At 48.1% G+C, this 24147-nt stretch overlaps 2 protein-coding genes and 1 long non-coding RNA gene across 8 annotated transcripts in view, besides 4 other annotated features; 1 reads left to right on the forward strand and 2 right to left on the reverse strand.

Annotated features, from left to right (window-relative positions):
* Positions 1–14661, reverse strand: C1RL (complement C1r subcomponent like). 4 transcript variants are annotated; one of them, NM_016546.4, is made up of 6 exons: positions 14557–14661; positions 13698–13926; positions 7345–7534; positions 5348–5473; positions 5133–5207; positions 1–2610 (listed from the first exon to the last, which is right to left on the reverse strand). In NM_016546.4, exons 1-6 carry the CDS (start codon positions 14625–14627, stop codon positions 1838–1840), a joined length of 1464 nt encoding a protein of 487 aa, NP_057630.2. In that variant the 5' UTR covers positions 14628–14661; the 3' UTR covers positions 1–1837. The 4 variants fall into 4 exon arrangements, with proteins under 4 accessions (NP_057630.2, NP_001284571.1, NP_001284569.1 ...); NM_001297642.2 differs by having other exon boundaries at positions 5133–5254; NM_001297640.2 differs by lacking the exon at positions 5348–5473.
* Positions 13681–14880: an enhancer, noted in NCBI's record as "MED14-independent group 3 enhancer chr12:7260830-7262029 (GRCh37/hg19 assembly coordinates)". NCBI's record gives its function as "activates an origin of replication core promoter dependent on BRD2, BRD4, P300/CBP and CDK7 cofactors, and independent of MED14, by STARR-seq in HCT116 cells {active_cell/tissue: HCT116}" and the evidence as "EXISTENCE:reporter gene assay evidence [ECO:0000049][PMID:35650434]".
* Positions 13713–13882: an enhancer, noted in NCBI's record as "active region_5914". NCBI's record gives its function as "activates an Ori minimal core promoter by ATAC-STARR-seq in GM12878 lymphoblastoid cells {active_cell/tissue: GM12878}" and the evidence as "EXISTENCE:reporter gene assay evidence [ECO:0000049][PMID:35858748]".
* C1RL-AS1 (C1RL antisense RNA 1) overlaps positions 13755–24147 on the forward strand; it is a 13544-nt gene continuing 3151 nt past the window's right edge. Inside the window, exons 1-8 of the long non-coding RNA NR_026947.1 lie at positions 13755–13928; positions 14120–14394; positions 15511–15594; positions 15745–16019; positions 16472–17053; positions 17454–17511; positions 20577–20666; positions 20833–24124. This is a non-coding gene — a long non-coding RNA (C1RL antisense RNA 1). The remainder of the gene's footprint in view (positions 13929–14119; positions 14395–15510; positions 15595–15744; positions 16020–16471; positions 17054–17453; positions 17512–20576; positions 20667–20832; positions 24125–24147) is intronic.
* Positions 14523–14602: an enhancer, noted in NCBI's record as "active region_5915". NCBI's record gives its function as "activates an Ori minimal core promoter by ATAC-STARR-seq in GM12878 lymphoblastoid cells {active_cell/tissue: GM12878}" and the evidence as "EXISTENCE:reporter gene assay evidence [ECO:0000049][PMID:35858748]".
* Positions 18714–19215: an enhancer, noted in NCBI's record as "H3K4me1 hESC enhancer chr12:7265863-7266364 (GRCh37/hg19 assembly coordinates)". NCBI's record gives its function as "activates a minimal SCP1, AML or CMV promoter by ChIP-STARR-seq in naive H9 embryonic stem cells {active_cell/tissue: H9 hESC(naive)}" and the evidence as "EXISTENCE:reporter gene assay evidence [ECO:0000049][PMID:30033119]".
* RBP5 (retinol binding protein 5) overlaps positions 21183–24147 on the reverse strand; it is a 14270-nt gene continuing 11305 nt past the window's right edge. For 2 of the 3 annotated variants that reach the window (XR_007063133.1, XR_001748882.2), the window contains exon 6: positions 21183–22825. The gene's annotated coding sequence lies outside the window, so the exon portion shown is untranslated. Of the gene's footprint in view, positions 23023–24147 lie in introns of all 3 variants that reach the window. The other variant, XR_007063132.1, reaches the window with a different exon arrangement.

A 24147-nucleotide genomic window follows, 5' to 3' on the forward strand; every position in this document is an offset into this window, starting at 1 on the left:
TATAGGTATATATATATTTTTTTGCCTTGGCAGGGAGAAACTCATATCATTTTTTGCAATCATAAAAATAAGCAAAATAAAATAAAAACATTTCATGCTCATTAAACAAATTTTAGCCAATAGAGAATAGTGGAAAACCAAACAGCCAAAATCTTATCAATAAAACCACCTCTGTTTAGTATTTTGAGAGAATTATTATTATATTTTTGGCGATGGGGTTTCACTATGTTGCTTAGGCTGGACTTCAACTCCTGGGCTCAAGCGATCCTCTTGCATCAGCCTCCTGAGTGGCTGGGGGTATAAGTGTGCATCATTGCACCTGCCTTTTGGGAATATTTTTAATAATCTTTTGTACTGTATGTGGGTGTAAAAAACAGAAGTAATCACATGTATGTACAACTTTGAATCCTGCCATTTTTTAGAGATAAATTTAACCTTTGACCATATAGCAACTTGACTCTTGATGCTAACAAATTACCTCTCTTCTCTCTTTTATGGTGTTTATTTTCTATTTCCATTGAACAGTTGTATTTTATTTGTGTCTTTCACTGTAAATCACCTCCAATCTTTTTTTTTTGGGGGGGATGAAGTCTTGGTCTGTCCGCAGGCTGGAGTGCAGTGGCGTGATCTTAGCTCACTGCAACCTCCGCCTCCCAGGTTCAAGTGATTCTCCTGCCTCAGCCTCCCGAGTAGCTGGGACTACAGGCACGTGTCACCACGCCCGGCTAATTTTTGTATTTTTAGTAGAGATGGGGTTTCACCATGTTGGCCAGGATGGGCTGGATCTCCTGACCTCGTGATCCACCCACCTCGGACTCCTAAGGTGTTGGGATTACAGGCGTGAGCCACTGCGCCCGGCCCATCACCTCCAGGTTTTACTAAAAATTAAAGAGTTGGTCCTCTCAGGTGGAGCAGTTCCCCTGATGATAGGGGCACAGGTGGGGTGTCTGCAAGAACTTCAGTCCAGTGCTGGGCTCACCTGGCTTCTGCAGGAGATGGGGCCATTAGGAAAGTGTGAGCTAGAGGATACCATTTTCGCAGAAGCAGGAATTCCCAGGGAGGGAAAATGGTAAGGATGTGGGGGCTGGGAGGGAAAGCGGGTGACACAGCAGGTTAGAGGAGGGTTGAGAAGTATTGCAGCACACTGGGAAGAGCACAGTCTCTGCAGTCACACACCAGCTGTGGGACTTGGGCAAGTCCCTTTATCCCCTGAGCCTCAGTTTCCTCATTTGTCACACATAGATAATAACACATCCTTTGCAAATATGGTATGAGGATTAAGTGAAATAACAGGTGAAGCACCTGGCATATAGAGGACATAAAATAAAAAAGGAGCTGTTTCTATAATTGCATCTTGGAGCTGCAGAATAGCTTGAATATTTGAAGGTCAACTAAAGGGTCTTAGGAATGTTTCAGAAATGCAATGCAATGAAAACCCCTTCCTCCATACTCTAATAGCGGGTGAGTAGCTGACTCTTCCACAGGTGAGTATAAAAGCTGTGTCAACAGATGAAGTAGGGGAAGGCGGTTCTAAGGACATTCAAGGCGAAAGTTGTTGAGATGTACAGGCTTCCCGGGGCCTAGTGCATGAGCACAGGGAGGTAGAGGGTGAGGAGGAGCGGTCTGTGGGACTCTGCTTCCTGTCTGGGATGGGGCGGGCTTGCCGGGTGGGGGTTTCTCTTGCAGTGGCTTGGTGCAACAGTGATGTGAATAGGATTTCCCTGCCTCCCCCAACCCCCCACCCCCAACCCCTACCCCAGTGTTCAGTCCTCACTCCAGGCCCTCTGTTGCCTGGGGCCTCCACTGTGCTGGTCAGTCCCTGTTCAAGCCCCCAGGGTCAATTCTTGCCATTCATCACTCCCTTGATCCAGTCCACATAGCTGAGCACCTTGGTGTAGAAGTCATACCCTTCGCCACACCCTATGCCCCAGGACACAATGCCCGTGGCCACCCAGTGATGGGCATGATTGTCCCATACCACATAGACGCTGCCACTGTCCCCCTGGCAGACACTGTGCCTTTGCGTCTCATCCCCAACACAGAACATATTGTCAGAAAACACCTCGGGTCTCTGTCTCTTTTGGAGCCAGGCGTTGCAGGCCTCCCTGGGAGCTACAGGCAGCCTCGAGTACTTCAGCTCAGTAGTTAGCCAGCCCATCTCCATGCCAAACCCACTGACGTAGCCCAACAAGCCGCTGCGGTAGAGGGTCTCATTATCGGGCAGACAGACCGGGAGGACGTTGGGGCCCAGGGGGATGCTGTGCTGCAGCTCCAGGAGGGCGATGTCCCCGCTAAAGTTATGGGACTCATTCTGACGGTAGTCGGGGTGCACAACGACACGGTGGACAGGGTGGTTCCCCAGTTTCAGCATCTCATCTATGGCTGTGTGGCCCAAGAACACATTCACACTCTGGTTCTTCCTGAGAGAAACACTGTCCTTGGGGTAGATGGTGTGGGCAGCAGTGAGGATCCATCTGTCCCCCAGCAGGGCCCCGCCCCCACGGCCGTGGATACTGGTGAAGGCTTGCCAGGGGAAGTTGCCCAGCTTGGCTCTGGAAGAACCGAGGGTCGTCTGATTCTGGGCAATGGGGGTGACTGGCCGTCCGCAGACTGGGAGAGAGGCGGGGTAGGGGTGACAGTCAGCAGCTGCATCTAGACACACTGATTAAAGACCTGCTTCTCTGAAGTGCTGTGGTAGGGGACGCGTGAAGAGACTCTGGGATCAGGACGTTTTTTTTTTTTTTTTGATATCGAGTTTCGCTCTTGTTGCCCAGACTGGAGCGTACTTGCGCGATCTCGGCTCACTGCAACCTCCGCCTCCTGCGCTCAAGCAATTCTGCCTCAGCCTCCCGAGTAGCTGGGATTACAGGCACCGACCACTACGCCCGGCTAATTTTTGTGTATTTTTTAGTAGAGACGGGGTTTCATCATGTGGGCCAGGCTGGTCTGAAACTCCTGACCTCAGTGTTCCACCCGCCTCTGCCTCCCAAAGTGCTGGGATTACAGGCGTGAGGCACCGCGCCTGGCCGGGATCAGGACTCTTATACTGATGCAGACCCACGGTGTAGACCATGTGGGCAGACAAGGACAGGTAATCAATGCCAAGTGTACGGGGCACCCATCCTGCATGGGACTCAGGACAGTGGACTGAGGGTAGGGAGCACAGATGAGCACATGTTTGGGGCTGGTTCTGCAGGGCTCTCCTTCCTGCCTCCTCAGAGGCATTAAAGCCATTCGTTTGGACCATCCTGGGCCCCCATACTACAGGCAGAGTCTGTTTCAGTGCCTCCTGCCTCAGTTTTGTGTCACTTCCTCATTTGTAACATCTCCCACTACCACCTGCCCTCCAAACCATCCCCAAAGCACTGCGAGTGTTCAGGCTACCCTTAGAGTTTTCCGTGGATCAGATTGGGTTAAGAAGGCAATGCTTTCGGCCGGGCGCGGTGGCTCACGCCTGTAATCCCAGCACTCTGGGAGGCCGAGATGGGCGGATCACGAGGTCAGGAGATCGAGACCATCCTGGCTAACCCGGTGAAACCCCGTCTCTACTAAAAAATACAAAAAAAAATTAGCCGGCCGTGGTGGCGGGCGCCTGTAGTCCCAGCTATTCGGGAGGCTGAGGCAGGAGAATGGCTTGAACCCGGGAGGCGGAGCTTGCAGTGAACCGAGATCGCGCCACTGCACTCCAGCCTGGGCGACAGAGCGAGACTCTGTCTCAAAACAAACAAACAAACAAAACAAAAGAAGGCAATGCTTTCATTCAAAAGCGTGGATCTCAAAAATGGTGGGCTTGAACCCTCATGTATTGCCGGTGAGATGTAACTTGGTGCTGCTGCTGTTGAAGACAGTTTGGTGGTTCCTCAAAAAGTTAAACAGAATTATTATACAATCCAGCAAGTCTACTGCTAGGTATATACCCAGGAGATTTAGAAACGTACGTTGATATAAAAACTTGTACACAAATGCTCATAGCAGCATCATTCATAATAGGCAAGAAATAGAGACAACCCAAATGTCCATCAGTTGAATGAATAAACAAAATGGCGTATCCATAGAAAGGAGTATTATTTAGCCATAAAAATGAAATACTGATGGATGCTATAACAGGAATGAACCTTGAAAACATTACGCTAACTGAAAGAAGCCAGACAGAAATGGCCACACATTATATGATTCCACTGATATAAAATCCATAAAGGCAAATCCATAGAGATAGAAGATTAGTGGTTGTCAGGGGAGAGTTGGAGGTACTGGGCTGTTTTGGGGAAGGTAATGGAAATGTTCTGGAATTAGTGGTAATGGTTTCACAACATTGTGAACACACTAAACATTACTGGATTGTACTGTTTAAAGTGGTTAAGGCTGGGCGCAGTGGCCCAAGCCTGTAATCCCAGCACTTTGGGAGGCTGAGGCGGGACGATCACCTGAGGTCAGGAGTTCAAGACCAGCCTGACCAACGTGGTGAAACCCTGTCTCTACTAAAAATACAAAAAAAAAAAAAAAATAAAATAAAATAAAAAAATGAGCTGGGCATAGTGGCAGGTGCCTGTAATCCCAGCTACTCAGGAGGCTGAGGCAGGAGAATCGCTTGAACCCAGGAGATGGAGGTTGCAGTGAACCAAGATTGTGCCGTTGCACTTCAGTCTGGGCGACAAGAGAGAAACTCCATCCCAAAAAAAAAAAAAAAAAAAAAAAAAAAAAGTGAGCCACTGCGCCCAGCCATGAATTTTATCTCAATAATTTTTTTTAAAATGGTTGACTGTCTGGCACTGTGTGGCATCTAGGTAGGGAGATATTTTAGGAATAGAGAGCCTGTCGGTATATCCTTAAAATGTATGGCACAAAAAGAGGGTTTTCTGTTACTTCAGCTTGTTGGTCTCTCTTCCTCCTTTTCTAGTCCATCTCATGAACGTCCTTCATGCTTTTCCTCAGATATATCTTGACCCCTGAAGAATGAGGAACAAGCTCCCTGCCTGTTCTTTTCTGGGCCTTCTTGATTGCCCTGTTCTTCCTCACCTTCTGCTTCTTATCTTCCTTTCTATTCTAAGGCTTTCCTTTAACCCCTGTGTCCTGTAGGTCCCAGTTGCAGCTGAGGCTTGTTGGGGGAATGGTGCTAGCAGGTGGCTACTCACCAGGCATACACTGAAGAACCTCCTCCCCATCCTGTCTGTCTTTCCAGGTCCCTGGGGTTGCACAGGTGAGTGCCCCTGTGGCGTAAATGAGGAGAGGCAAAGAAATAGGCTCGGAGTTGAAGCTGTTGGTTAACGAAGCAGGTGCTCAGAGGGTGTCAGGCATTTGGGTGGGAATGAGGTGGATGGAAGCCACCCCTCGGCAGGTGGGGACTCACCTGCTGCCGCGGCCTGATAATAGGGCTCCTGGCAGTGGTTCTGGACCTTGGCAGGGTTGTCTCCAGGTGCGTTGATGGCCTCAGAGCCCCTGCTGGCCTCGCTGATGGGCTGACTATAGTTCACAGCTATAGGAAAACAGCACCTAGCACAGACTTGCCAACTGGCAACCCAGGGGCTGATTCTGGCCCATGGCTATACTTGGTTTGACTTGCACAGTGTTTTATTTTTTATTTTTAGTTTTTTTAAAACATTTGAGTTCGTTTTCACTGATCAGATTGACAACACTCAAAGAGTTTGAAGATAACTGTGACAAGCAGGGTAGGGGGGAACAGGCACTTCCATATATGTTTGATAGGTATGTAAATTAGCAAAACCGTTTTGGAGAAAATTTTAGCAATATCAAAATTTAAAATGCAAATATTTTTTAACCTACTCCATTTCTAAAAATTTAGTCTAAAGATATTCTCACACATGTGCTCAAAGATGTAAATGCAAGGATATGCACAGTAGCACCATGTGTGGCAGCAAAGTATCTATCAGGAGGGCTGATGAAATACATTATGACACATCAATCAAGGAGATTTTATGTGGTCATTAAAAATAATGAGTTCGCCAGGTGCGGTGGCTCACGGCTGTAATCCTAGCACTTTGGGAGCCTGAGGCAGGCAGATCACCTGAGGTCAGGAGTTTGAGACCAGCCTGGCCAACAAGGTGAAACCATTATTAAAAATGCAAAAATTAGCTGGGTGTGGTGGCATACCTATAATCCCAGCTACTCAGGAGGCTGAGGCAGGAGAATCGCTTGAACCCAGGAGGCAGAGGTTGCAATGAGAAGAGACTGCGCCACTGCACTCCAGCCTGGGCAATAGAGCGAGACTCTGTCTCAAAAAACAATAAATAAAATAAAAAATAAAAAATAAATGAGTTAGTGCTGTCCATATGGAATGGGATGATCTTTAAGATATATTATTCAGTAGAAAAATACCACGTTTAGAACACTTGCAATATAGACACACACAATTTATCCTCTTCCCGGGAAGAATATCCAGGAAATGGAGAACACAGTTGTTTCTGGGGAGGGCAGCCAGGAGTTAAGAGCCAGAGATCAGAGGAAGACTTACTTTTTAGCATACTTAAAAAAATGATATTTTATCATGTGCACCCTTCCTTCCTTTCCTTCCTTCCTTCCCTCCTTCCCTCCTTCCTTCCCTCCCTCCCTCCCTCCTTCTTCCCTCCCTCCCTCCCTCCTTCCTTCCTTCCCTTCTTACTTTCCCTCTCTCCCTCCCTCCCTTCTTTCTTTCCCTCTTTCTCCTTTCTCGCTTTCTTCCCTCCCTTCCCTTCCCTCTCCCTTTTCCTCCTTCCTTCCTTCCTCTCTTCCTCTCTTTCTCTCTTCTAGTTTCTCCGTGTCTCCCAGGCTGGAGTGCGGTGGCATGATTGTGGCTGACTGCAGCCTCAAACTCCCTGGCTCAAGCAATCCTCCCCCTCAGTCCCTGAGTAGCTGGTACTACAGGTGTGCACCACCATGCCTGGCTAATTTTTAATTTTTTTTGTGGAAACGGGGTCTCACTATGTTGCCCAGGCTGGTCTCCAACTACTGGCCTCAAGCAATCTTCCAGCCTTGGCCTTCCAAAGTGCTGGGATTACAGGCATGAACCACTGCCTCCAGCCAGTATTTATCTTTCAAAAACAAATCTGAGTCATCATTTGAAAATTTATAATTTTACTTAAAAATCTGGATTTTTGGCATCTCTTTAAAAATGAGATGATCTGCAAACACTGGGCCTGTAAATCTGCATGGAAACAACCGCTGGGGGCTCAGCTACGGCTGTCTCTTAATAGGGTTGCTTGCCAGCAGGGGCAGGGCTGGGATCCAGCCCAGGTGTCCCTGAGTCCCCAGCCTCAGCTGTCACTCAAGCTTCCACTTAAGGCTTGAAGATACCAGGGTCATGGCTGGGAACAGAGGCTCCCTCCCTGCACCCCCAGGAGGGACACTCACCCACGGTTTGGTAGAGGGCCAGGAAGCCCTTGTGGAGGTGGGCAGTCTTGTTCTCCGAGGAAGGCTGTGTGCGGAAGGTCAGCCGCAAACTCCTCCCTGAGGATACAAACTCCCTCTGACCAGGGGGCCTGCCCAGAGGGGAGCCTTGCTGACCACAGAACTGGCTTGGATCCGAACCGACGAATGAGATCTGAAAGCGGGAGGAGGAGTGAGGCTGCAGATAGGTGTGGGGTGAATCCGCGCTGCTGGCATCACAGGGGCACATCCTCGGTGTGACTCCTGCCCCATCTAGACGGGCCGTGCCCCTCTGGGGCTCAGAAGGCACCTCACAGAGGCTTCCTCAACTAGCTTCTGGTTCCATTATTGACGCCTGAGTTTCTTCCAGACATAACCACATACTACAATGTTTCTTTAGCCTACCATAATTATTTCACGTAACCCACTATATTTTCCTTCTTTTAAGAAGTTCCTTGGGAACACCAGGGTTCCCATGGGAGTCACTGGATTATGCATTCTAAGAAGGCAAGGACTACTTCTGTCTTTTTCTCCACTGAGTTCCTGGTGCTCAGCGTGGTACCTACAGCACCACAGCGTTGACTCAATGAACATGGGCATAAGCCCCTCCCATCCAGCTTCTCCTCCATCCCCAAAGCCCATCCCATCACCTTCCACTTCTGTGAGTAACTTTCTTTGGCCAACATCTGTGAGGCAGTAATACCCTCTGCAGAGACTGAGCCTCTGGGGTCCCTGCCTTTTCCTGCTTTCCTTCTTTTGGGGTGCCCCTCCTCTTATCCCATGCACTTTGTAAACGAAGCTCTCACAATGTATGAAAACCTAAGGACACAGGTGTCCACAGTCCAGCTGCACTGGATGGTGTTGCTTCATCGGGCAGCTTGTCTCTGTTTCAATGCCCTTTTGACTGTCTCGCCTCTGCTCAAATACCTTCCTGTGGGTTCCTTAACTCAAGGAAGGGGCCATGCTTCCTGCTTCATCTCTGTTCCAGGCACACAGCTCACTGCTTAGCTCATTTTATTTCTGGTTTTCATACTGATCCATATATCCTAGGTTTTTGCTAGCTCTCCATTCCCTCATTCTCCACAAGTCCCAAATTCATTCAAGACTTCATCCAGACCATGTCATTATGATCAGAGTAACTGGGTAAAATTTGCGATGAAGAAAATTTCTCAATCGCCCCAAATACCTGGTTCAGACAAATCCCAATACTGGTCTTTTGCTTAGAATATCAGCAAATGTAACTCCTGGCATTTAAGAGGCCTGCTTTTTGGGGAAGAAGCAATTTGATGTAGGAAATGGTGCTCAACTGCTCTACTTGGTTGTAAAACCCTCCAGCTTTCTTTTTGCCCTTTTCCCTGAATTGTTAGCGAAATACAATTGCTTAGGATTCTAACTAGGAAAGTAGAGTGGACACAGGACTGAGTCCTAAGACCCTTAAATTCTAGACTTTGCTACTAATTCCATGTGTGAAATGGGGAGTTTCTGAAGCACCCAAGATCTCAGTTTCCTCTCCTATATAATGGTCTGTGTGGCCTCTTCCAGCATGTTCTATGGCATCTTCCAGAGTCTGCACTAAGAGCAGTGGTGAGGATGGATACTCAATACCTGCTCCTTCAAAATTCATTATGTTGTGTGTCCTGCACACACATAAGCTTGCATTTTATTCACTCTCTCACTTATTCCTTTAACACATTTACTGGTTGTGTACTATGTGTAAGATACTGTGCTAGGTGCTGGGGACACAGATGTGACAAAGGCACAGTTCTGCTCCCGAGGAGCAGTGGCTGAGGACGCTGACAAGTAAAAAAATAAACTAGGTTATAGTGTGCTGAATTCTGCCTTTGAGGGGTGTGTGTGTGTGACTTACTCTGGGAGGAATCCTTTTTCTGAACTTGAAGTTTCTCAATGACAAGAAAAAAGGCCAGGATTAAAAATCTCCATGATTTAAGAGGAACGGGACTCATGGTAGGTGCTCAACAGACATAGGCTGAATTGAACAAAGTATCATCCTGACTGGTTAAGTCTGAAGCAATAAATGCATGCATATATTTCCTCTCCCATCTCAACCCCAGTCGTATGACAGCAAAGGGATAAAATGGTACACATAACCAAGGACAAAAAAGGGAGAGAAGATGACAGCAGATGACAGGTGTCAACACACTTTGGAAGATGGAGTGGAGATGCAAGTGATAACTTGAGTTTGCAATGATGGGAGCCAACATAAAGCAAGCAGGTTCTCATCACAGAACCAGGGGAAGTTTTAAAAATTGGGGGAATCAAGATAGGGATGAGGGAAGGGCTGGCACGGGGATGGCAGACCAGAAGCCTGTGAGGGAGACTGCAGAATCCTAGAATCTCTGTGCACCCAGGCAACTCCCTCTGGCCCACCCTGGCAGAAGGCATGAGCTTAACAAGAAACCCTGGACTTGAGGCCCCGCGGCACACTTGATAGAGGGGGCGAAGGCCAGTGCAGCAGGTCCATGAATAACATCGTCGTTTCATTATGACGTTGACGAGAAAAAATATTGCCCCGTGTCCGGGGCCACTCTCTGGGTGAAGTCTGCACATTCTTCCCATGTCTTCAGTGGTTTTCTCCAGGTCCTCTGGTTTCCTCCCACATCCCAAGCTGTGCCTGCTAGGCGACCTGGTATGTCTCCACGGTCCCAGTGTGAGTGAGTATGAGTGTGTGAGTGCGTCCTGAAACAGGATGGTGTCCTGTCCAGCACTGGTTCATGCCTTGCATCCTGAACTGCTGCAACAGGCTGTGGCCACCCGTGACCCCAAACTGGAATAATTGGGTAAATAATCTTATTCGTTTTTATTAACCTTTCTTACATGTAGGCATAGTTCACATGTATTTCAATATTTAATATTAGAAGTGTTTGGGGTCTTTATTTAGAGGTTTGGTGATGTTTCTGTGATCAGTAATTGCTGTAGAAACTTCACTCTTGTCTATATCAATTAGCTCTATGGCCAAATTGGTTTCATTCTATGTTATTTCTCTTAAAGTCATACTTTCCAAGAACCTATGGATGATTTTAAGTGAGGACTCACTGTACCAAAAACAGAAGGATTAAGTGAAAGTCTACCTGCCAAACAGTGAGCTGCATCTCCCTCCACCAGGCCCTTTTCTCAGCTTGTTGACCAGAATGCTGGGGTCCCTGAGCTGGAATCTGCAGGAGTCCTCTCAGGGGAAACTGGCTGCCCCCAAATAAAATGCTTTTACATCCTGACAGTTGGGAGGCCCCCAGTGGCACATCTAGGTCACCTTGTCGATAACCCTATTTTCAAACCTATCATTTGACAAATTTTAGCTATCCACACAGAACTTCCAATCAGTATTTTAGTGCTCCACTCTTTTTTTTTTTTCCTTGAGACAGAGACTCACTCTGCACCCCACAGGCTGTAGTGCAGTGGCCTGATCTCGGCTTACTACAACCTCCACCTCCCAGGTTCAAGCGATTCTTATGCCTCAGCCTCCCAAGTAGCTGGGATTACAGGCGTACACCACCATGCCTGCCTAATTTTTGTATTTTTAGTAGAGACGGGGTTTCACCATGTTGGCCAGGCTGGTCTCAAACTCCTGGCCTCAGGTGATCTGCCTGCCTCGGCCTCCCAAAGTGCTGGGATTACAGATGTGAGCCACTGCGCCCGGCCTTAAATATGAATGGACAGCCAAGTATTATCAGATATCGTAGGAAAGTCTCTAACACAAAAAGCAGAGACCAAAACAGACAAACGGTAAAAAAGAACTTGGATGAAATAGACCCACTATAGAGAACAGAAGAAACATCTAAAAATAATCCCAAAGGAGGGAAAGGAGTTGATACTGCATCAATGAAACAAGAACAATACTCTATAAAAAGGCACATTTAGAAAATTAGAACGAATCCTTAGAAATGAAATAATATGTCAGTGGAAAGAAACCATTAACTAAAAGATGGGGATTTAAAGATGAGAAAATTTCCCAGGAGGCAGAACAAAAGAGATGGTAAATAGAACAAAACAGATAACAAAGCTAGAGAATCAATCTAGAACATACAACAGCTGAATTATAGGAGAAAGAGAAACTAAGGAAATGAGATATCTGGAAATTATTTAAAAAATAGCACAAGAACATTCCTAGAATTGAAGGACTAGATTAAAAGAGGCTCTAGATTAAAAGAAATCTGCACAATGAGTAAAAAACCACGTGTATCAAGAGACATCATAATGAAAGTCCAGAATACTGGTAATAAGGAAAATATTCCAAAAGTTCTAGAGAGAGAAAACAAAGGATTAGGAATGATAAGGGCATCAAACTTCTTAACAAAGTCTAGACCTAGAAGACAATATCATCAAAATTCTGGAAGAAAAAGGTTTCCAATCTAGAATGCTATACCCAGATCAACTATCCCTCCACTGTGAGGGTAGAACTGAGACATTTAGACATATATAAGATCTTCTAAAATTCACTCTAAAATACCCTTTCTAAGGAAGCCACTGGTGAAGGTGCTCCTCCAAAATGGGAGAGTAAACCAAAAAAGAGAAAGGTATGGGATTCAGGTTCAGCACAGGTAAAGGAAATCCCCAGAAAGAGGGAGAAGAGAACTCCCAGAATGTGTGACGGCTTAGAGAGCAAAGAACTCAGGCTGTGAAAATAAATCGAGAGATCTTCAGGAGGGATGTCACCAATTAAAAGGAGGACCGATAGACTGAAATTCATGCTTGAGTATTTCAGAAGAAGATTTACACTCCTGGTTAAGAGTCTGGTGAGATTAGTTACAGAGACAACTAAGCAAACTAAAAAGCAAAACAAAAACAAACACCCCCCACCAAAAAACAAAACAAAACAAAACAAAAAAACTCCATGTAACTATTGACTCCTAGGAAACCCAAAAGTTGGAGAAGAAAAGAAATATAATTATTTTATGCTATGTGCTCAGATGTGAATATTTTACAGTCATAATAATGTAAATAATGAATAAAGATTTAACTAAAAATGATAATATAGGTAAACTGGCAGAATGAGGAGGGGAAATGTGGGTGGTGAAGACTGAAGACAGATAAAGCTAGTCCTTATCTTCTATACTGTAGTTGAGCATTAATAGAAAATACGTAAAAATGAAAGACAAATAAGCATGTTATTTATACATATGAAGTTAAAGACCAGATGAAACAGCTACATGAATTGGCAAATGACTGCTCCTGAGGAGCAGCACTCAGGGGCGGGGAGGAACAGCTTGGAGACTGCTGTTATTCATAAACCTTTTTAAAAACCTTTTTTTTTTTTTGGAGACAGGGTCTCACTCTGTCACCCAGGCTGGAGTACGGTGTCATGATCAGAGCTCACTGCAGCCTCTACCTTCCAGGCTCAAGTGATCCTCTCACTTCAGCGTCCCTTGTAGCTGGGACCACAGGTGCGTGCCACCACACTTGGCTAATTTTTAAATTTTTTTGTAGAGATGGGGTCTTGCTATGTTGCCCAGGCTGGTCTCAAATTCCTGGGCTCAAGTGCTTCTTTCGCCTCAGCCTCCCAAAGTGCTGGGACTACAGACATGAGCTACTGCGCCCAGCCTTAGAAAACTTTAATTAAAAAACAAAAAGTCTTACAACTATTATGTATCCATAATAATTAAAAATTTTAAAATTAAAAAATAAAGTTCAAAAATTTATGTCATTTTGATATAAATAAAATTTAAATCAAAAGATAATGTGCTCTTTTTATTTTTATTTATTATTTACTTATTTTTGAGATGGGGTCTTGCTATGTTGCTTAGGCTGGCCTTGAACCCTGGGCTCCAGCCCTCTGATCCTCCAGCCTCAGTCTCCTGACTATACTGCTGGGACTGCAAGCTTGCATCACTCCATCAAGTACTGTTTTTAAAATGTCCTTATTCTGAATAAGGCTTTGGCGTTAGAAGTTTTGTAATAGCTCTTCCAAGGTAAGTGTGAACGGTGACTTAATCTTTTGTTATTATTTGTGTCCAGCTTCCTCACCTGATAGAGCAGGCACTCAACAAATACATGATGACATATTTTTAACAACCAATATGTGCGTCCCTGCCCCTGGCTCCATAGATTTGCAAGATTTGTGTGTCCATTCATAAGCCTTCCAAACGCAGGGCCTGCTTGCTGCCCTCTTTGCTCTGTGGGGCCCAGATGGCAGCCCCGGAGGCGCTGGTGGGAGGCTGTGTCCTGGGGTCCACCACTGCTCCCCGGTAAGCCAAGCCCGACTGCCCCTACATGGAAAATTCATCCCTCCTCCAGATGGGGGATTCAGGGCACCGCCACTTCCCACAACCCCGGGAATCTCCCTGGCCACAGTCCTGGCGGGACCCCCCCCATCCCCAGCTCACTGTGACAGAGTCCCCTGCACAGTCCTGGGACGGCTCCAGGTCGAAGTCCTGGAAGACGAGCCTCACAGCAAAGCCCTCTGGAGCCTTGATGTCCGTGCTGCTCTCTTGGCCTTTGCCATACGGCTCTGGGTACCCGGGGGATGTCAGCTGCTGGGGTAGCTCTTGGGCCAAGAGGACGGAGCCCCGGGTTGGGCAAGCCTGGAGGACTCCCCAGAGAAGCAGCCACCACCTGTGAGTTGGGGGGAGGGCAAGGTGGGGCCGCGCAGCTATGGCCGGAAGCCTGTGGGTGTGGGAGGAGCGGGGGAGCCGCGCTAGGACTCAGAGGCCTCGCGAGGCAGGGCTAGAAGCTGTGGCCTCACCCTTGAGGCCCGGGCACTTCCCGTCTCCTCCCTTGCTCCCCTTCCTCACCCCAATCCCTACAGCCTCCCGCGCAGCCTGAGCTCTAGGATTGTGGGTTTTCCATCCTCCGAAGACATCACCTTTGCTCATCTCCCAGGAGAGTCTCGTCCAAAGGAGGGGGGTGCTTTCTGCTTCAGCAGATCCCACCCCACCCTGGGATCCGAGGGAGCAATGGTGGGGCGAGTGAGGGTCTGCCGTAAATATCCCCCGACCACCCTCTGGGAAGGTGCTAGAGGCCACAGGCAAATTTCAGTCTCCCCATGGAATATCTGCTGTGCTGCTGCTGCTGCTGCTGCTGGTGTGTGTATGTGGGGGAGGTGTGTGTGTGTGTGTGTGTGTGGGGGGGGGGGGGATGTGTGTGTGGGGGGGGTAGGGTGGGGGGAGGGAGGGTTTGCGGCCACCCACCCTTTCTCTTCCCCTCCCGTCCTCTTCCCTCCTCCTCTGCCGGGGCCACACTCACATTGCGCCTGGACAGCCTTTGGAGTGAGGGCTTCTCCAGAGATATTTCCCCCACACTCTGGGTCCAGGCATCTGGAACTGGACATCTGGGACCTGCGAGAGAACTGGCCCAGGATAGGGAACAAAAGGTGAAGGCCGGTGGGGGAGGAGGAAGTTCCTGGAAATGTTAAGCAACTCCACAGTTCCCCTTCTCCAATTCTCCGGGCTGAGCGCCACCTGCCGTCTGACTCAGGAACAGCGGGCCCGCCGCAGCTTAGGGGAGAAACGTCCAAAAACCTCGCTGGCCCTCAGAGGTCAGGGTGGCAGGGCACTGACTCGACCCTTTTGTACTATTTAACATTAATTTTTGCCATGTGTGTAGGATGGCTCCTTGTGAGTTATGGCTGCTGCCTTCAATCAGCCATGTCTCTTCCTCCCCGACCTTTCCGTTCACGACATACCCGGGGAGCCTCCCTCTTGTAGAATTGAAGTTTGTGATCCTTGAACTTGAGCTTTCTCTTCCTTTCCCTCCTCCCCAAGCAGGGGTGGGGGACATGCGCTTAGGTGGTCTTTTGAATCCTATTCACAACCTCTGGAGGCTGCTTGTCCAGCATGGTCAGGGCTGGGGTCGAGCCCAGGTGTCCCTCAGTCCCTAGTCCCAGTCATCACTCAAGCCGTCACTCAAGCTTCTTTAGGCAGATACTAGAGCCCCTGCCTGCTCTCACCGCTCCCCGAGGAAGGACACTCACCCACAGCTTGGTAGGAGGCCAGAAGGCTCTTATGGAGATGGGTGGTCCCATCCTCAGAGAAGGCAGGTGTGTGGAAGGCCTTACGTTGTATGCACACACAAATGCATGTGCGCGCGCACACACACCTCTCAGAGAAGAATCTATTGCTTCCCCCATTTTGCATATAGTAATATGGAGGCAAGTTACAGACCCAAACAGGGTGTGCTCTGCATCTTTGGTTTTTCTAGGCTAGAGAGATTTAGGAGAGCCACAGTCTATGGCTACAAGGAGATGATAAGAGAGTGATGGCCAGGACAGATGCAATGTCTCAGGTACAGTCTTGAGATCAAGCCTACCTGTCTGCCACACCCCAACCCCAAACACAACTGGGGATGATCTCCCATACCCATCTTCGAGGAGTGGGCCTCTCTGACTAGGACTTCTTTCCTCCCCTGAGACCACTGAAACCTGCTCTCTCATAGAACTCTTAGGGTCACCTGGAGCACCTTGGGAGCCAGAGATGCAGCCAAAGAGTGAACAATGGTACCAATCCCAAGACCCATGTGTTAAGAAGAAACCAGCCAAGACTCAGATCAGGATTGGGGAGTCCACCCCTCGTTTCCCTTCAGAGCATTATTTCCTTGTTTGCTAAGAGGGGCAGGAACTGGAAAACTCAGGCTAGCCCATCTGAGAAGACTTTCCTGGAGATGAGCTGGAGGAGGGAGGAGTAAGGCCTTGGAAGGAAACTCCAGGACAGGTAGGGTGACCGACTGTTCTGATTTGCGTGGGACCGACGGGTTTCCCAGGACATGAGGCTTTCCGTTTTAAAATGAGGGAAGTTCTGGGCAAGCCAGGACTGGTGGTCACCCTAAATGGATAGGGGTTAAAGTGCTGGAGTGAGGCTGGGTGAGAAAGAGGACAGGGAGCCAAGAGGGTGGGGAGGCAGTGATGCACCGGCAGCCCCAGGTGACTGGGCAGTCCAGGGTCTGGATGTGGTCCCTGTTTGGGGTAATCCAGCACTCTGAAGATGAGGGCCCACCTTGGTCTCACCTAGGTGGCGTGTGCGGCTGCAGCATGAGTTAGGGTCAAGGGCAAGGGGAGGAATGGCTGGTGATGTGAGACTGGAGAAGGAGCTGATGGCTCTGTGCATAGCTGGTCACTGCAGGCCCCTGTGGGCTAGGGCTGAGCTGTGCCCCGCTGTGTTTTCAGCACCACCTCCCCTACACTGGGACCTCGTCTCTAACTGGCAGAGTGGTCAATGAAAAAAAGGGCATGCCTTGGCACATCATGGTCAAACTGCTAAAAGCCAAAGACAAGAGAAAATCTTTTCTTTTTTTTAATCCCATCCTAAAGACTAGACAGAACAATATTTTCAATGTCACTCTTTTCTCATCAAAACCAATATAGACCAGAAGACAGTGGAATATCTCTAAAATGCTGAAGGAAAAAAAAAGTCAACTCAGAATTGTTTTTCTAGTGAAAGTATTCTTCCAGAATGAAGATGAAATAAAGCTATTTTCAGATAAAAGAAAACAGAGATTCTTGTCGCCAGCAGACCTCCACTATGAGAAGCGCTAAAGAAAGTTCTTTAGGACGGGCACGATAGCTCACGCCTATAATCCCAGCATTTTGGGAGGCCAAGGTGGGAGGATTGCTTGAGCTCGGAAGATGGAGGCTGCAGTGAGCCATGACGGTGCCACTGCACTCCAGCTTGGGTGACAGAGTGAGACGCTGTCTCAAATTGGAAGAGCAGAGCTGCAGACAGGAATAAGAAGAACGGTAAATTTGAAGGTAAATATAAAATACGATTTTCTTTTTAATGTCTTTAAAATATGTAGAACTGTTCCAGGCAAAAATTATAACATTGTATTGTGAGGTTTATAACATATGTAGCTGTAACATATATGAAGACTGTAGTATAAAGCAGGGGTCCCCAACCCCTGAGCCGTGGACCAGTATTGGAGGTGAGTGGTGGTGAGCAAGCAAAGCTTCATCTGTATTTGTAGCTGCTTCCCATCACTCACATTACCATCTGAACTTCGTCTTCTGTCAGCAGCAGCAGCAGCAGCAGCATTAGATTCTCATAGGGGCACGAACCCTATTGTGAACTATGCATGGAGGGATCTAGGCTGTGTGCTCCTTATGAGAATCTAATGCCTGGTGACCTGTCACTGTCTCCTATCACCCCTAGATGGGACCGTCTAGTTGCAAGAAAACAAGCTCAGGGCTCCCACTGATTCTACATTACGGTGAGTTGTATAATTATTAATATTTCATTATATATTACAATAACAATAATAATAGAAAGAAAACATGCAATGAATGTAATGTGTTTGAACTATCCTGAAACCATCTCCCTCTGGCCCCATCCCTGGTTTGTGGAAAAACCGTTTTCCATGAAGCCAGTCCCTTGTGCCAAAAAGGGTGGGGACTGCTGGTATAGAGGACAAGGGGGTGGACTCATGGTTACAAGTTTCCTTCATTTCACATGAAGTGGTACAATAGGAACTGAGAAAACTGGAGTTTAGGATGCAGACTAATTCCCAGAGCAGCGGGTCTCCACCCTGTGGTGTGGGAAGACCCACAGGCCCTAAGATCCTTTCACGGGGTCTGTGAGGTAACAAAATGACTTTCATAAAAATACTCAGATGTTCTTTGCTTTTTTCCCTCTCATTCTGTCATGGTATATGGTGGATTTACAGAGGCTACGTGATGTGCAATGATTCATCCGTGGCAGTGAGCGGGATGCGTGCTTGTGTATCTTTGTGATTTAAAATGTTCTCAATTTTGATTTCTAGTACAGTGACTATTAATAGATATACCCTACATAAGCCAAAGCTCTCTGGAGTTCTCAATAATTTTTTAAGGGTATAAAGTTTGAGAACAGTTGCCCTAGGGTGACTACTAGTAGAAAAAAGCAAAGAAGTATAGCTGAAAGGCCGATGTAGAAATGAAAATGGATGTCTGAATTTGGGGGGACTTTTTTCTAATAGGGTAACCTATTAGAAATCATCCTGGTCTGTCTAGAAATGAGGTTTTCCTAGGACATGAGGTTTTCAACACTAAAACCAGTTAAGTTCCCCGACACGCCAGGACAGTTGGTCACCTTATTGCTAACACTTCAATCATTTACTTCAGTTCCCTTTCCCTTACCCAAGTGTCCCTAAAGAGCATAGGCCACCTCTGCTCTATGTTAAGGCCCCCAAGTGCAGGTAAGGGAGCTGGGATTCCTGGCATGCTAAGTAAAGGTAGCAAGCTACCAAATTGTAAGGATACTATGTTTACAAATATAGAAAGCACCCGTGAGAAAAATCTAAAATAACTGCTTCCTATTAGAGTATGGGGTTGTGGATGATTTAAACCATGTTTCTCTGTTTAGTAAAACTTCTTTAATATTATTTAATAACTTTGATAGTTACAAAATAAATGTATCTGAAATTATAATTGTGACCAGATGGTCCTTTCTGAGCCAGACAGGATTAGAGAATGAGGGGATGGATCCTTTAATCGGCATCTTTAATCCACATGATTAATGAAGAAGTTTTTGTCCTTGCATATAAACTTAGGCCAGGCATGGGTCTTTCCAATCTTAGCTGGGCAAACAAGGTTGGGGTGCTCCAGTGACTTTATTTTTGGTTTTATTTTTGAAAATCGTGTTGGTGCTGCCCCCTTCTGTCCTGAAAGGGGAAGGGCAGGACAACAGAAAGTGCCTTGGGGCTTCCTGGCCAGGGAGTTTCTCTGCAGCCTTCATGAGCCCCCAGCATTTAGAGAGGAGCTTGCCCTCTCCTGGAATCCAAACAGCCACAGGAGAGCCCAGGCAGAGGAGTCTGGGGCAGCACGAGCCATTTCTGTCCACAGCTTCCCTGTCTTATCTCTAGATACCTTGCCCTGGGCTGGGACACGTGGGGGCTTTTGTGCCCAGTGCCAGGTGAGGAGGGAGATACAGGAGCGAGGTGAAGAGCAGCAGGGGTGATGAGGCGGCTGAGTCAGCCAGACTGGGACCCTTTGCTTCTGTCTGGCATGGCCAGTGGAGATGTGGACAGCCCAGGGCAGAGGGGTGACCCTAATGGGTCACACTCCTCCACCCCCAAGTTATCTCAGGCTTTCATGTCAGGGCCTTGACTTCCATGCCTTATGGACACCTAGGCAGTCGCTAGCTCAACCCCAATGGAGTGTCAGCCACTAGGTTTAGCCCTTAAGCCCATCCTCCCTACTCTGCCAGTATCTAAAATCTCAATCAATCGTGCCCCTTCCCAGGTTAAAACTTTTCAATGACTGTGCCTCCTGATCCATGAGATGAAGCCCCAGCCACTTGTTTGTCTCGTCAGGTTCTTCCTTCATAATCAGGCTCTGCATGACTTTCTGGCTTCGCTCTCCACCGCTGCCGCCTCGCATGTGTGTTCCAGGCGCGGTCATGATGCTATGGCTTCACAAACATGCCTTGCGTTTGCATGTGTGACTCCCCGACCAATGCCGTGTTCTTCAGTCATCAGCATAACATGCTGCTTAAAGGAGTGGGCTTGTGTGCCACACTCACCAGGTTTAAACCCAGGCTCTACCATTTAAAAGTTTGGTGACCAAGGCCAGCTTACATAATTTCTCTGTGCCTCTTAACATCCTCATCTGAAGAACAAGGATGAGGACAACGGTACCCACACCAGAGGGTTGGTGTGAGGGTTAAATGAGTTAATAACCAGAATTGCTTAGGGCAGTGTCTGTCATTTGGCAAACAATAAATATCATTACTTGCTTAGGAAGCAGAATAGAATAGCAAAATGGTTAGATCAGTGGTACTCAACAAGGAGCAGTTTTGCTCCCCAGGGGATATTTGATGATATCTAGAGATTTCTTTTTTCCATTACTGGCATTTAGTGGATACAGGCCAGTGATGCTGGTAAGCATCCTAGTGCACAAGGCAGCAGGTCCCACAACAAAATGTTACCTGGTCCTGAACGTCAATAGGGGCGAGGTGGAGAAACTGAGGGTTGGGTGGTCAGGCTCCAATCTGTTTGGGTTCAAATCCCATCTCTGTCTTTTATTTCATGTATAACCTTTGGCAAATTACTTAAAATTCTCTGTTCCTTAGTTTTCTTATCTGTAGAATGGGGACAATAACCTGTGCTTGGGTTCCTGAGAAGAGTCAGCGTTCGGCATGTAGTACTCATGCCCTGGATGCCGGCCATTTTTACTCACCTCTCTCCCCGTGTCCTCTCCTCTGGGAAGCCCTCTTTGACTCAGAGAAAATGACTTTCCCTGTGCTCATGGACTCTTGATGCATGATAACCTCCTGCCCGTGTGTCTGTCTTTCCCACAGGGCTGTGGGTTCCTTGAGGGAGGAATTTTGTCCTGCAGGCTGTGGCAGCCCTAGGACTCAGCACATCTAGGTGTCCACCTGCGTCTGTGGGTGAGTTCTTGGGATGGGGCAGAGTGGGGAGTATGCACCAGGTTTTGGAGTTTTCAAGGTGTGCAGGGAGGAAGAGAAGCAGGTGGTAGACAGGTGCATCTGGGAGATGGGGTTGGGTAGAGTTTGAGGGTCTGAACACGGCCCTGCCCCATTTACTATTCTCTAGTGAGAAGCCTGATCATTGCCACGTGACCGCCTCCTCACTGTTGGTACCTGGTTGTAGAGAGCAGCTCTGTGAGTAGAAGGAGAAGGATCCTGCCCTGGAGAGGGCCTGGCTGGTCCTCACCTGGGGCCTATCATTTAGTAACAGGGCTTCTGGAAGTGGTAGCAGATCTGGGCCTGGTGGGCATTCTGCTTCTCCTGGGTGGCAGCAGAAGTCCCTAGGTGGCAGGCTGGGGACTGCCCAAAGGTTCTGACTCAGGAAGAGCACAGTGGAACAGAAAGCCCTTGTACCACCTTCGCTGCTGTATTCGTCCATTCTCACACTGCTGTACAGAACTACCTGAGACTGGGGAATTCATGAAGAGAAGAAGTTTAATTGACTCACAGTTCTGCGGGCTTAACAGGAAGCATGACTGGGAGGCCTCAGGAAGCTTATAATCATGGCAGAAGGCGAAGGGGAAGCAAGGACCTTCTTCACATGGCAGCAGGAGAAAGAGAAGAAGGGAGAAGTCTACACACTTTTAAACAACCAGATCTCATGAGAATTCCATCGGGAGACAGCACTAGGGGGATGGCACTAAACCATTAGAAACTGCCCCCATGATCCAATCACCTCTCACCAGGCCCCTCCTCCAACACGTGGGGATTACAATTCCACATGAGATTTGGTTGGGGACATAGAGCCAAATCCTATCAGCTGGTATCCTCCTTTTTCCAGGCTTTAGATATGGCACAACCTGATGGCTTCTGCATAAAGCCTCCTCTCATCTGCATCTCTCCACCTCACTCACCCTCTTTTCAGCAAAGAACCCTCTGGCTCTAGTTTCACTGTGGTGGTCCTGGGAGAGGTAGAGAAGACCCAGAGGCTCCTTACCCTGGGAGGTCAAACTGACCATCCAGGTTTGGCTCTTCCCTGCTGGTGTGTCTAGAACACCATCTTCCCCTTATTGCTGTGGACTTCAGGGCTCTGCTGCTCTGTCCTCCACAGAACTTGTCAATCAGCTTCCTACCAGCTAAGATCTGGTGCTGTCTGATATATCCTCCCTGCGGCTTGTCACTCATGCTGTCTAATGGCGTGAGGTGCATTGAGTTGTATTCTGATGTCTTTGTCCTTTTGAAGCCACAGAGTAAGGTCACACAACTTTGAAACGAGCAGGGTACCATCTGAAGATGCTGGACATTCCTTTTAACAATTACCTAGGGGAGAGGCAGTCCTCAGACAGGACTCAGGTGGGTGGGCCTCAAAGAGGAAGGGAAAGGGGGCAGCTGCCTGCCTCTGAACTTCACTCTCTAGACTCGTGGAAGGGTCTAGCTTAGAGCTAGGATGGGAGGGCTGTGAGCACTGAGGATGGAGTCATGCCTTTTTGTGACTGGACACATTTTTACTGCCCGAAGTCATCTACTGCCCCCACCCCCCAACCCCATTCTTCTGCCCACTTAGCGAATATTGAGGTTATGGTCAGGATGGGGTCATTTGCAATGAAATTCAAGGTTGAGACTATGTTGCAGTTATCTGTCTGCTTGTAAAAAGTCACCCCCACATTTTGTTTAAAACAGCAAGTATGTACTATTTCACACAGTTTCTGTGGGTCAGGAATCCAGAAGCGGCTGAGATGGGTAGTTTAGGATCAGGGTCTCTCACAAGGCTTTGGTCCAGGTGCAGGCTGCAGTCCTCCAGAGGCGGGACTGGGGCTGGAGGTCTGCTTCCAGACGGTCACTCACATGGATGTGGGCAGGCGGCCTCAGTTCCCTGCCACATGGCCCTCCTCATAGGACGCTTGAGTGTCCTCGCGGCATAGCAGCTGGCTTTCCCCAGAGTGACCCAAGGTGGAAAGAACAAGGCAGAGGTGACAGTGTCTTTTATAAGCCAGCCTTGGAAGTGACGTAGCATCATTTCTGCCTTATTCCATTGGTCACACAGACAACCCGATGTGGAAGGAGACATCACAAGGACAGGAATACTGGGAAGCAGGTATTGTTGGTGGCTGTCTCGGACGCTGGTTCTCATAGAAGTAGATGTATTATTTTAGTACAATAAGTGCAGACGATCAGCTAGCAGGATGTTATTTTTGCTGGGTATGGTTGTATTTCAGGTGCATTTACCCAAATCCAGAGTACCTTTGGGGGCTCTGACCCTCTCCTCCTCCACCTTGAGATCTGTAGAGGCCTCTCGTTCATCCCACCAAGAGCAGGACTGGACAGATGAAAGCATGGCTTACAGGAGGCCAACACAATAGGAGGTAGGGCTTTGGGAAGACAGCATAGGTTTCAAAAGAACCAAGAAGCTGTTGAAAAGGAGAGCAGATGGGCAGGGAAGACAAGTCCCAGATAGAATGCCCTTTGCAACCTAGGGGGAGCTGACCACAGTGTGCATCCTGACACTCGAAGACAAGGTCTCCATCAGCAGATTGCCCAACAGAACAAGTTCAGAGCCCAGAGATCCCAGTTCCAGATCTCAGATCTCCCACACCCTGTGGGCTCTGTGTGGACTTTCGTCCTGAAACAAAGTCCTTTAGTAAAGGACTCTTTAAATTCACTCCATCTGTGCTTTGCTTGCCAATAGCAGGGTGCGTCTGTTACATACTGGACTATCCCTTCCTTCAATATGTTCATGGCTGAGGCTGCATTTGTGCCTCAGATAATCAAGGTGAGTATAACTCTCTGTTCTGTTTCCCTTTTGTTTCCTCCAAGACTTTAATAAACCCTCATTCAAGAGGCCCACCTTGTCCCACCTGTGCTTCTCAGAAAAGAAGGAGTGGTGGGGAGACAGGCTGGGGTGGGGGCTTTGCCACCTGGCTGCCCCTTCACCTGTGGGTTCTTGCTCCAATGAGGACCCAGCAGGATAAGCTTTAGTTTCATTAAGGGTGACAATAGTTTCCTTACAGCTGGGTCAAGGATATGAGCGAGCCTCTTCCGAAAACAGCCGGGAAGGGAGAGGAATCCAAGAGGAGGAGCAGGTGGGAAAGACAAGACAGAAGGTGGATCGGGACCAGGCCTGGGAGGGAGCACAGGCACACAGAAGTGAAAGAATTCGCCTGAGGTTACACGACTCCTCGAGCGGTGCCTTTAGCTCTGCATTGTGCCACCTGCCTGGGTCAAGGAAGATGCCACCGCTGTTGTTCTGTGTACAGAGAGGGAAAGGAAGATGCTGGCTCTCAGCAGTTCTATAGAACAGAGGATGGAGAGGCCACACGACAATAGGCACACGCACCGTACATTGAAGAAGTGCATGCAAGACAGAATCGTGTGGGATATGCACACTTGCGTGGAAGAAAAACTGTTCCATTCACATTGAGGTAGACCCTCCATCTATGACTCA

This window comes from Homo sapiens, chromosome 12, assembly GCF_000001405.40.
Source record: "Homo sapiens chromosome 12, GRCh38.p14 Primary Assembly".
Taxonomy (NCBI): domain Eukaryota; kingdom Metazoa; phylum Chordata; class Mammalia; order Primates; family Hominidae; genus Homo; species Homo sapiens.